The sequence below is a fragment of the Homo sapiens genome, chromosome 6, assembly GCF_000001405.40.
Source record: "Homo sapiens chromosome 6, GRCh38.p14 Primary Assembly".
Taxonomy (NCBI): Eukaryota; Metazoa; Chordata; class Mammalia; order Primates; family Hominidae; genus Homo; species Homo sapiens.
Window position 1 is genome coordinate 110,883,014 of NC_000006.12, and position 12,930 is coordinate 110,895,943.

The window sequence follows — 12,930 nt, forward strand, 5'->3', positions numbered from 1 at the left end:
CTTGGGAGGCTGAGGTGGGAGGATCTCTTTGAGCATGGGAGGCCAAGGCTGCAGTGAGCTGTGATTGTGCCATTGTTCTCCAGCCTGGGTGACAGTGAGACTGGCTCAGAAAACAAAAGGTTATTTCTCTGCCATTACAGAAGAAGCATGCTACACTGTCTTCTCTTATTAAAATGCAATTAATAAACCCTGGACAGAATGCATTGTTGAGCAGCTATCCAAGGACTCTGAGAAGTAAATTTTAGCAGGTGAAATGGAGAAGAAAGCCAGAACTTTAAATTCCACTGAACCAGCAGTGAATTTCCTGTTTTTTTTCCCCTGTGGTATCTCCTCGCTGATTTCTCCTGGGCTTGCCAGAAACCCAGAACTGAAAAGTAGGGGCAGGCAAAAATAGTTCCAAGAAAGGCTCTCTAGTTCTCCTCTGCAAAGAAAGAATGAGAGGCCCCTTTGAATCAGAGTGGAAGAAATCTCTTTTTTGCTTTTGTTTTGTTCTATTCTGCCCCAATCCTCTTGTAGGCCTTTAGCAGCTGTGGCAGTTAGGCAGATGTCTAAAACAACGAGAGAAGGGAATCATTTTTTGTTTGTTGTTTGTTTTTGAGACAGAGTCTTGCTCTGTAGCCAGGGCTGGAGTGCAGTGACACGATCTCGGCTCACTGCAAGCTCCGCCTTCCGGGTTCATGCCATTCTCCCGCCGCAGCCACCCAAGTAGCTGGGACTACAGGTGCCCGCCACCATGCCCAGCTAATTTTTTTTTTTTTTATTTTTAGTAGAGACGGGGTTTCACCTTGTTAGCCAGGATGGTCTTGATCTCCTGACCTTGTGATCCTCCTGCCTCCCAGAGTGCTGGGATTACAGGCGTGAGCCACTGCGCCCGGCCAAAGCCCTATTTTTATAGGTAGTGGATGAAGAAGAGTCCTTCCCCTATCCCCTATGTGAGTCAGGCATTGTCAGAGAGATTATGGAAGGTTGAAGAAAGTAAACCTATAAAGTTTTATATGAACACTCCTTAGCCATTTTGCATGGATCTGACCCTAAACAGCACATCAGAGGCTTTGAAAACTAGAATACACAATAGACTGCCTCTCCAGGGCCAGCCTGGCCATTGGGTGGCAAATAAGTGGGGCAGATGCAAATAACATAGCAAAGGAGTTCATAACAAACCTGACACTGGAACCATAACACAACCTAGAAACATTGAGTAAAAACTTGAAGCCTAAACCAAACCAGATTGTCTGCTGAAAGTTTTTAAAAATCAAGACCTAGAATGATGTAACATGTCAAAATATCCAGGATGCCATCCTAAATTAGTCAACATACTCAAAACCAGGAAAATCTTAACATCTCAAAGGAAAAGACAGCAGACACCAACCTCAAGGTGACATGGACCAAGACTTTAAAGTATCTGTGCTACAAGTTGTAAGGGTGAATACTTTGTTTTAAGAGAGGGTCTTGCTCTGTTACCCTGGCTGGAGTGTAGCGGTGTGATCATGGTTCACTGCACCCTCCATCTCCTGGGCTCAAGCAAACTTCCCACATCAGCCTACCGAGTAGCTGGGACTACAGACCTGCACCACCACTCCCAGCTGCCTTTTTTCTTTTTAAGAGACTGGCTATTGCTATGTTGCCCAGGCTGGTCTTGAACTTCTGGTCTCGTGATCCTTCCTTCTTGGCCTCTGAACCACAGTGCCTGGCCACAACAGCCTTTAAAAAAAGAGAAAACAAAAATAAGAAAGGAAAAGACTGTTACACTGTTTAGTTCAGCCATGGAACGTGTTTAAAAGTCTTAATAGAAATGGTGAATATAACTGAGAAAGGGAGGGTGGGATTTGTTAGTGCGTCCAGTGGGTAAAAAGGAGTATGTGCAAGAATAAGTTATAGTGGGAAGTCAGTAGGTGATGACTTAAGCAGGTAGCATTATTGATGGACCTGAATTAGATAAGCTCTTTAAAAATCTGAAATTGTAATGTTTCTAATACTTAAATCATAGTGGATATTTTTATTTACCTTCATATTCAGGAATGGGAGTCTTAATAGTAGATAATTTTTGCAAGGATTTTGTAAATTTATCTTAGTCAAGTGAAGCAGGATTTCATTCCCACGAGTAGTTTGTTTATTTTTTTGAGATGGAGATTCACTTTTGTCGCCCAGGCTGGAATGCAGTGGTGCGATCTCGGCTCACTGCAATCTCCATCTCCCGCATTCAGTCTCCTGCCTCAGCCTCCAGAGTAGCTGGGATTATAGACGCCCACCACTACGCCCAGCTAATTTTTTGTGTTTTTAGTAGAGATGGGGTTTCACCATGTTGGCCAGGCTGGTCTCAAACTCCTGACCTCAGGTGATCCATGCGCCTCGGCTGCCCAAAGTGGTGGGATTACAGGCATGAGCCATTGTGCCTGGCCAAGTTTTTGTTGTTTTTGTTTTGTTTGTTTGTTTTTGAGACGGAGTCTCCCTCTGTTGCCCAGGCTGGTATGCAGTGGCAAGATCTCAGCTCACTGCAACCTCCACCTTCAGGGTTCAAGTGATTCTTCTGTCTCAGCCTCCCGAGTAGCTGGGATTACAGGCGTGTGCCACCACACAAGCCAGGGGTAATTTCAAGGGTTGTCACAGTATATATCCCACATATGTATTCTTTCCATATATGAACAAATTGTTAGCACCCTTTTTAAAGAACCTTAAAACTTTTTAGTAGCTCTTTTAAAAAAGTTGCTTAGTCATGTTATAGTCTAATACAGGAACTCAGCTCTGTAATCATTAGCAAGCCTTTCACATTAAAGATTTTTGGATGGGTATTGGTACGCAGATGGGTCAGTAACAGTTTCTTGTAGCAAAATGGTGAGACAGGCACAAAATTCTACCAGGCATGTTTGGTGTTGTGTTTGCTTTTTAATACAAACGAATAAAAACATTTTGCTGTTGGATTTCGCTCAAAAGGTCTTATCTGGTTAACAAAAGATTTGCCGGCTGGGCACGGTGGCTCATGCCTGTAATCCCAGCACTTTGGGAGGCCGAGGCAGGCGGATCACCTGAGGTCAGTAGTATGAGACCAGCCTGGCCAACATGGTGAAACCCTGTCGCCACTAAAAATACAAAAATTAGCCAGGTGTGGTGGCACGTGCCTGTAATCCCAGCTGCTTGGGAGGTGGAGGTTGCAGTGAGCAGAGATCATGCCACTGGACTCCAGCCTGGGTGACAGAGCAAGACTCAGTCTCAAAAAAAAAAAAAAAAAGATTTGCCATTTTTATGAGTGTAGAGCAATGGCCTGTCAGATATCATAAGGCTTAAAAATTTTTCTTCTTTTTTTAAAGACCAGGGTATTACTCTATCGCCCAGCCTGGTCTCAAACTCCTGAGCTTAAGCCATCCCAATCCCAAAGTGCTAGGATTACAGGCGATTCTCCTGCCTCAGCCTCAGCCTCCTGAGTAGCTGAGATTATAAGCACCTGCCACCACGCCCGGCTAATTTTTGTATTTTTAGTAGAAACAGGGTTTCACCATGTTGGTCAGGCTGGTCTCAAACTCCTGACCTCAAGTGATCCACCGCCTTGGCCTCCCAAAGTGCTGGGATTACAGGCGTGAACCACCACGCCTGGCCTAAAAAATATTTCTGGCAAACAGCTGGGCATGGTGGCACATGCCTGTGGTTCTAGCTACCTGAGAGACTAAGGCAAGAGAATTGCTTGAGCCTGGGAGGTCAAGGCCGAAGTGAGCTGTGATTGCACCACTGCACTTCAACCTGGGCGACAGAGTGAGACCCTGTCTCAAAAAATAATATCTGTCATGTTAAGCTGTTCCATGGAATTACATTGTCTTTTTATAATGGGCACACTAATGAAAGAATGAACACTTTCCTAATTCTATTCTCAGGCAAATTAAGACTAGTTTCTTCATGTCCATATGACCTTCATTGCTATGGTTGCTTGTACTGCACATTTCCTGTTAAACGGGCTTTCTCATTGCATTTGGAGAGCTGCGTAGTATTCCCAAAATCTTCTAGGTATGCTTGTAATTGGCAGTCATTCCAGTTTTTTGTGAGTGCTATAAGAGTAACATCACTCACTGTGTCCCGACAGACAGGCTTTTAAATTTCTATGCCAATTAGATTGGTAAAATTATGCTCTTCTTTTTTTTTAAGTGTTTCTTAAGGTTAAAAATCTGCACATTTTATAGACAAAGTATCCCATTGAATTTCTGTAATCATTGATTAGTTAATGGTTTACCTTGGTTTATGGACCTTTGAACATTTTTTTGCCTATTTTTCTTTAAGTAATTTGTAAATACATAGTATAATGACCAATTTTTGTTTCATATATAGCATAATATACCTATCATTTATCTGGGTGTGTCAATATAGATTATTTTGAAAGAAACTAAAAGTTGGTGTACAATATTAATTAAAAATGTGGTCTTCATGAGAAAAAGTGTGAGCTTTGTAATTTTTATGAGTAGGTGGGTACTATTGTGGATTAATCGTAACTTTTTTGTTAAATGATAGATCTGAGTGGGACATACTTTTGAAGGATGTGCAATGTTCAATCATAAGTGTGACAAAAACTGACAAGCAGGAAGCTTATGTACTCAGGTAAGTCCTGTAAAACAAGTGTTAGGTAGCTAATTTCAGTCCTAATCATAATGTGAAACAGTTAAGTTCCTCTCAGTTGTAGTTCTGGGGGTTTTTTTGTTTTGTTTTGTTTTTTTGAGACGGAGTTTCAGTCACCCAGGCTGGAGTGCAATGGCGCCATGTCAGCTCACTGCAACCTCCGCCTCCTTGGTTCAAGCAATTCTCCGGCCTAAGCCTCCTGAGGAGCTGGGATTACAGGCACCTTCCATCATGCCCGGCTAATTTTTGTATTTTTAGTAGAGACGGGGTTTCACCATGTTGGCCAGGCTGGTCTTGAACTCCTGACCTCAGGTGATCCATCCACCTCGGCCTCCCAAAGTGCTGGGATTATACACGTGAGCCACCGCGCCCAGCCTTTTTTTTACATTATTCTTAAAAATATGGTATAAAAGGAAACATTTAGTGTAACGTGGATGTTTCTAGGACATAGGTTTTGAAGCCTCACCGGACAGTTCAAGGTGTTTGCCGTCTTTTCCTCCCAATTGGTAAAGAAGGACCTCTTAATTAGAAGTTCAGGCAAAGGGAAAGTTAGCTTCTCTATACAAATACAGTTGTCTAATTGGTATATAAAAGCTCATCACCTTTTTTGTAGTTGCAGAGTTAATTTATTCCATAAATACTTTTAATGCTTATAGTATATATTGTGATGGGCCTTGCTGGGGGATACTGGACTAAACAGCCCCTCCCCCCCTTTTTTTTTCTGAGGCGGAGTCTCAGTCTGTCCAGGCTGGAGTGCATTGGCGCAATCTCCTCTCACTGCAACCTCTGCCGCCCAGGTTCAAGCGATTTTCTTGCCTCAGCCTCCCAAGTAGCTGGTATTACAGGCGCCTGCCACTGTGCCCGGCTAATTTTTGTATTTTTAGTAGAGACGGGGTTTCATCATCTTGGCCAGGCTGGTCTTGAACTCCTGACGTGGTGATCCACCTCGGCCGCCTAAAGTGCTGGGATTACAGGTGTGAGCCACTGTGCCTGGCCTCTCTCTTTTTTTTTTTTAAACTAAGTTTATATTATGAATATACGAATGTTTATCAAAATGCTTACCATGTGCCAAGCCCTGGGGATGTTTTGTATACTAGAAAAGGAAAAGAATAATGTGTTACTTGCTTCCTTGAGATCCTAATATTTAAAAGTACTAGCCAAAATTGTAAATGATAATTAAATTGGTTGATTGCACCCTCAGTAGTACATTAGTATTGTTATAATATTGTGACTTTTTTCAACTGCAGTGAGAGTAGCATGTTTGTCTCCAAGAGACGTTTCATTTTGAAGACATGTGGTACCACCCTCTTGCTGAAAGCACTGGTTCCCCTGTTGAAGCTTGCTAGGGATTACAGTGGGTTTGACTCAATTCAAGTAAGTAAGCAAACATTTAAATATTTTTCAGGCATAAATGTTAGCGTTCTTATCCTGTAATATGCGAAGTAAATAAATTTATATACTTACTGCCTTTGTTACAATGCATGCAAACACGTGGTAAGGTGTTCATACCTTAGGAAGAGATCTGATTCTCAAGAACAGCAGAAAATAGGAAGCAGAGAATGAGTTAGGATGAAATTCAAATGGGAGAAAGAAATGAAGAAGCCAGACACTTCCAGTAGTTAATTTCTTAACATGGCTACTTATAATAATAGAGAAATGGTAAGAAAAGAAGGAAAAGCAAGAAAAATGTCGTTACTGAAATTGTCCAGTCTTTATAATGAAGAGTTAGGATGAAGAGCAACAGTCAGTATTGAGTTAAATTCTTATACTTTTCAAGAACTAAGGTGTTTTTACCTAGGGTATAATTTTCTGATTAGCAGTTGTTACATTTTATTTATTTTTTATTTTTTTGAGATGGAGTTTCGCTCTTGTTTCCCAGGCTGGAATGCAATAGCACGATCTCAGCTCACTGCAATCTGCACCTCCCAGGTTCAAGTGATTCTCCTGCCTCAGCCTCCCAAGTAGCTGGGATCACAGGTGCCCACCACCATGCCTGGCTAATTTTTTTTGTATTTTTAGTAGAGACGGTGTTTCACCATGTTGGCCAGGCTGGTCTCTTAACTCCTGACCTCAGGTGTTCCACCCACCTCAGTCTCCTAAAGTGCTGGGATTGCAGGCGTGAGCCACTGCACCCGGCCTGAATTTTAATCTTTAACTTCATAAGGAAAGGATGGATTGTCATTAGTACTCAATACAGTTTTTGTTGTTATGAATTGATCCTTGTAAGAAATCTAAAGCAATGTGTGCTTAACCGATGCTTAAAACTAATATGTTATTCCCCCCAAATTTTTGCTTATATGACTATTAATAAGCTCAGTTTAGAAACTACTGTTCTAGAAAGGAATATACTTGGTGTTAATAGTTGTTATGACCCATCATCACTAGACTGGGCTTTTTAAAAAAAAGAGAGAGAGAGAGAGATGGGGCCTCAGTATGTTGCCCAGGCTGGACTCCTGGGCCAAGTGATCCTCCTGCCTCCTAATAGCGAGACTACAGGCATATGCTACCATGCCAAGCTAAAATATTTGAGTTTTGATTTTGCCGAGTTTTTGATATGTGGACAATAGTTGATTAGCTTCGAAAAGTGATAGAATTCTACATCTAAAGTCATCTTTTTTTTTCTTTCTTTTCTTTTTTAATAAAGAGCTTCTTTTATTCTCGTAAGAATTTCATGAAGCCTTCTCACCAAGGGTACCCACACCGGAATTTCCAGGAAGAAATAGAGTTTCTTAATGCAATTTTCCCAAGTAAGTTTAAATAAAATATAAACCTGTTGTCTTCTTAAAGATAGAAAGTGCAACCTCAGAGATCTTTCTATATGAGAGCATACTTATGCATATATAGCATTCTACACACACTAATACTTGCTTTTCTTGTGGGTTTTTTGGTTTGTTTTAGACAGGGGTCTCATTCTGTCACCCATGCTGGTGCAGTGGTGTGATCACAGCTCACTGCAGCCTCAACATCCCAGGCTTAAGTGATCCTCCCACCTTAGCCTCCCAAGTAGCTGGGGCTACAGATGTTTGCCACCCCACCTGGCTAATTTTTTTTTAATTTTTAGTAAAGACAAGGTTTTGCCATATTGCCCAGGCCGGTCTTGAACGCCTGGGCTCAAGGGATCCACCTGCCTTGGCCTCCCAAAGTGCTAGGATTACAAGTGTGAGTTACTGCACCTGGTCCATATTTACTTTGACTTAGATGTTTTGGGAGTACAGTAGTGATCTTTATATAGCTTGTAATTCAAAATATGCAGAATTTATAAAGAACATTAAAATATCAGATAAAATATTTTTAGTTAAGATTAATAGCTTATTGCAAATTATGTATACACATGTAAAAATAATTGTGTATCATAAATCAGTGCTGTTTAAATGATGGAATTTTAAAATGTAGAATTGATCACCTGCCACCTCTGATTTTTCATACAGCATAGAGAGAGTTCATCTTCATCTGGCCATTCACTCTACTTTATGTCTCACTCAGTGGTTCTTTTTGCGTTTTTGTTTGAGACAAGTTTCACTTTGTCTCCCAGGCTGGAGAGCAGTGGCATCATTATAGCTCACTGCATTGTCAAACTCTTGAGTTCAAGCACCCAGCTAATTTTTATTTTATTTTTAGTAGAGATGGAATCTTGCTGTGTTGCCCAGGCTGGTCTTGAACTCCTGCCCTCTAGCAGTCCTCCAGCCTCAGTGGTTCTTAACATACAGATCATAATGTCCTTTGACAATATGAAGAAGGATATGATTCCCTTCAGAAAAATGCCTAGTGCTCTGCTCCAGCATTTTATATAATAATTGACCTGGCTTTTTAAAATTGCACAGTGTAAATTAGTGTTTCTTGAATGAAATTCGTAAGGGTTTCTTTCATCCATTTACTAAGCTTTTATTTATAGAGGTCAGGGAACAAAGGTTATCTGATAACATCCTTACTTCCTAGATAAGGCTGAAAACCTAAGATAATTTAGTAACTTTGCACAAAGTCGCTCATAAGCATGAAAATTGAACTTAGCACATCTACTAATATGAAACCAAACCAGGCTAATCAGAGTGTTGGGTATTTACTGCAAATACCCGCCAAGTCAGTCGATCCTGCTTATCTGGGAATTTACCTACTGTTTCCATTCCTTTCACTGATGACATTTCTTTTTTCTTGAGATGGCGTCTCGCTTTGTCACCCAGGCTGGAGTGGAGTGGCGTGATCTTGGCTCACTGCAACCTCCGCCTCCCGGGTTCAAGCAGTTCTCCTGCCTCAGCCTCCCAAGTAGCTGGGATTATAGGCATGTGCCAACACGCCCAGCTACTTTTTGTATTTTTAGTAGCGATGGGGTTTCATCATGTTGGCCAGGCTCGAACTCTTGACCTCAAGCCCACCTCTGCCTCCCTGCCAAAAGGGGTGGGATTATAGACATGAGCTACTATGCCCAGTCCACTGATGGATGACATTTCTAATAAGTGGCAAATAGTATCATTCTGCTTATTGTGGAAGGGTAGTAACAAACCATCCTATTAAATGGATGTGTTATATTTATTTTGCGTTCTCTTCCCTCAACAGATGGAGCAGCATATTGTATGGGACGTATGAATTCTGACTGTTGGTATGTTTAATGCAATTTTGTGGATTTTTGTTGTCCTATGTAAGATTTAAACTGCCAATTGTCATTTTTAGGAACTATTTTTAATTTTTATTTAGGTACTTATATACTCTGGATTTCCCAGAGAGTCGGGTAATCAGTCAGCCAGATCAAACCTTGGAAATTCTGATGAGTGAGCTTGACCCAGCAGTTATGGACCAGTTCTACATGAAAGATGGTGTTACTGCAAAGGATGTCACTCGTGTAAGCATTTTTAGTAATAATTGTTGCTGGACTCTTCTGCGTGGGGACTAAATTTTATTTTTCATTCTGTAACTTTTAAGTTCAGGGTAACAAGTGCTAGTTTGTTACATAGGTAAACTTGTGTCATGGGGGTTTGTCGTACACAGTATTTCGTCACCCAGGTGTTAAGCCTAGTACCCATTAGTTATTTTTCCTGGTCCTCTCCCTTCTCCCACCCTGGGACTAAATTTTGGACTCAATTGAAGTTTATTTGTCAAACCCTTGTTAAACTCGGTCTTTTTCCCCCCCCAGGAGAGTGGAATTCGTGACCTGATACCAGGTTCTGTCATTGATGCCACAATGTTCAATCCTTGTGGGTATTCGATGAATGGAATGAAATCGGATGTGAGTAGTTATATATTGCTTCAATAATTATTTAAATGTGAATAGTCTTTCCATTCTTAACACTGTGAACTTTTTCTCTCAGGGAACTTATTGGACTATTCACATCACTCCAGAACCAGAATTTTCTTATGTTAGCTTTGAAACAAACTTAAGTCAGACCTCCTATGATGACCTGATCAGGAAAGTTGTAGAAGTCTTCAAGCCAGGAAAATTTGTGACCACCTTGTTTGTTAATCAGGTAATTTTATATTTTATTATTAATCAGGTTATTTGATTTTTAAAATCTTAAAGGAAATGAGACAGTGAGGCCTAAGATGTATTCTGAGATAGCACATATACCAGCCACTCAGATATCCAGAAGTAATATTGTTTGAGGTTACTGGTAGCTGAGAAGCTTTGTTTCATTAGACCTGTGTCAGTCCTTGTTTTCTGTCTAGCCAAACTGATGGGTTCCTCCTGTCTTGCTATTGACAGGCCTCTGGTGGGAGGAACCATAAGATGCCCTGGCCCCTCCAGCACATAAGAAGGCAGCTAAAATAACTCAGATGTCTTAGTTTCATTAAGATAAAAGTCTGTCACTTAACTGTTTTGGTTGAAAATACTTCTCTGGATTGCAAACACTAACGGTTATTTAATTTTTTCCCCCAGAGTTCTAAATGTCGCACAGTGCTTGCTTCGCCCCAGAAGATTGAAGGTTTTAAGCGTCTTGATTGCCAGAGTGCTATGTTCAATGATTACAATTTTGTTTTTACCAGTTTTGCTAAGAAGCAGCAACAACAGCAGAGTTGATTAAGAAAAATGAAGAAAAAACGCAAAAAGAGAACACATGTAGAAGGTGGTGGATGCTTTCTAGATGTCGATGCTGGGGGCAGTGCTTTCCATAACCACCACTGTGTAGTTGCAGAAAGCCCTAGATGTAATGATAGTGTAATCATTTTGAATTGTATGCATTATTATATCAAGGAGTTAGATATCTTGCATGAATGCTCTCTTCTGTGTTTAGGTATTCTCTGCCACTCTTGCTGTGAAATTGAAGTGCATGTAGAAAAAACCTTTTACTATATGAAACTTTACAACACTTGTGAAAGCAACTCAATTTGGTTTATGCACAGTGTAATATTTCTCCAAGTATCATCCAAAATTCCCCACAGACAAGGCTTTCGTCCTCATTAGGTGTTGGCCTCAGCCTAACCCTCTAGGACTGTTCTATTAAATTGCTGCCAGAATTTTACATCCAGTTACCTCCACTTTCTAGAACATATTCTTTACTAATGTTATTGAAACCAATTTCTACTTCATACTGATGTTTTTGGAAACAGCAATTAAAGTTTTTCTTCCATGAGTTGAGTCCTTAAGAAAATGATTCCAGTTACTCATTTTGCATATTTGCTATTTTAACATTATTGGACCCTGCATTTATAGTCCTTTGATTTCTTCCCTCTCCCTGGTGTCTCCCCCAAGACCCCAAATAAAGCAATACACTGTTAACACTGTGGGTTTATATACTAATTCTATACCCCAGATGGGGAATGGGGGAGATGGTCCCTGGGCTTAATATTCTTTAAAGGGCATGGGAATTTAGCCTCTCTTTTATTGTAATGTGCTCTTTTGGAAAATAGTTGGTTAGCAGGGAAGACCCAGAGTTGTAGATTGAGATTAGGGTGTACTGGCTGAACTGTGGAAAACATACAATTCTGTGTTCCTCAGTAAATGAGATTAGCGTCTAATGAGTAGCACCCCTTTACTAACTTAGTAGTAGTATAAAATCATTTTTATTTAGTTAATTACCAGAGAGATTTAGCATAATTTTGTTCTGGATTCAGTAAATCAAGTCAGCTTGGATCATTCACCTTAACTTTTCCTTTAGCAGCCATTTCCACTAGTTTCCATTAAGTAGTGTTCTATAAACTTTGATCCAAAGCAGAATCAATGTCTTTTCCATCTCGTGACTTAAAGTTCTGTGACTGTGATGCATGTGAGTGTTCCGACTTCATCTGTTCCTCTTAACTACGGTGTTTCCCTTACCATGGCATTCATAGGATGAAATGAATGACTGCCCAGAATGAGAATTTGTCCAGATTATTCAGATAAACATCATAAAGCAGAATACATTATAAATAAGTAGAATATGAATAAATAGAATAATAAAATTCCAAAATACTCAATGGGAAATGACTAGTAATATAGGCTTTCAAGAGTTGGTACCTTTTAGCTATATTTGCAGATTCTCTGGGATTTTAAGGAACTGAGAAAACAGCAAAGTTGACTAAATTTTATATTTCTTGTCCTCTAAATATTTTGATAATTTCTGGATTGATGCAGTGATGTTTTTGTTCCTTCCGTATTTATAAATGAAACACCTTTTTTTAGTGTTTCTAAACCTAAAATCTACTTGGTTTGAAATCAAGTGGTTGGAACACTGTTTGACTTTTATTTGAAGCATGTTGTTGATTGAAAATTTCATTGAGGAAGTTTTCAATCAGTGTGATCAGTTTGATTCTGTAATGAGCACAGCACCTAATATTTTGAGGAGCTCTGTTTTGAGGACCAATGCTTAAGGTGGACTTTGTTCGTAAACAATATCCCAATAGATTTGTTGACTTGAGGTCTGGTTTGGTTTTGTTTTTGTTTTGTTTTGTTTTGTTTTGTTTCCAATAGAATTAAGAATTCTAATGTTGAAAAACTGCACAAATTTTTATGGGACAAAGCCTAGAAAAGAGAAATGTAGTTTGAATCATAATCTAAATCATCGTATGATAGAAGAGGGAAAGTTTTGGTGCCATAATTTCTCCTTTCACTGGTGTTGGACTTAAATCAGTTGAAATGTATTTCTGTACCACAATTTACGCTTCAATAAAAGTTTAATTGTCTAGTGACATTCAGAAACTTTTCTGTTGCCCTGTTTTTTAAGTAGCCTACTTGACCAAATACTACATGTCTGAAGTTTAAAATCAATACAACAATGTGTATTTATGAGTTTGGAGTTAGACAGAAGTTTAAAAGTGTTAGGTCCCAACCTTTATTATAGACTAGACTCTTAAAACATTGGTTGAGGATGATCAAACTCAAATAAGTTTCCTTATTTCATTCATGGTTATTTCTATTAAGTAGAAAAA

At 39.8% G+C, this 12,930-nt stretch overlaps 1 protein-coding gene across 9 annotated transcripts in view; it reads left to right on the forward strand.

The window, feature by feature from the left end:
* AMD1 (adenosylmethionine decarboxylase 1) overlaps nucleotides 1-12,700 on the forward strand; it is an 81,097-nt gene extending 68,397 nt beyond the window's left edge. For 2 of the 9 annotated variants that reach the window (NM_001287215.2, NM_001634.6), the window contains exons 2-9: nucleotides 4,492-4,578; nucleotides 5,844-5,970; nucleotides 7,241-7,343; nucleotides 9,148-9,190; nucleotides 9,286-9,430; nucleotides 9,722-9,814; nucleotides 9,897-10,052; nucleotides 10,463-12,700. In NM_001287215.2, coding sequence (NP_001274144.1) covers nucleotides 5,854-5,970; nucleotides 7,241-7,343; nucleotides 9,148-9,190; nucleotides 9,286-9,430; nucleotides 9,722-9,814; nucleotides 9,897-10,052; nucleotides 10,463-10,603 — 798 coding nt within the window. In that variant the 5' untranslated portion in view covers nucleotides 4,492-4,578; nucleotides 5,844-5,853 and the 3' untranslated portion in view covers nucleotides 10,604-12,700. Of the gene's footprint in view, nucleotides 1-4,491; nucleotides 4,579-5,322; nucleotides 5,394-5,843; nucleotides 5,971-7,240; nucleotides 7,344-9,147; nucleotides 9,191-9,285; nucleotides 9,431-9,721; nucleotides 9,815-9,896; nucleotides 10,053-10,462 lie in introns of all 9 variants that reach the window. The other 7 variants (NM_001393406.1, NM_001287214.1, NM_001393407.1 and 4 more) reach the window with 7 other exon arrangements.
* The last annotated feature ends 230 nt before the right edge of the window (nucleotides 12,701-12,930 follow it).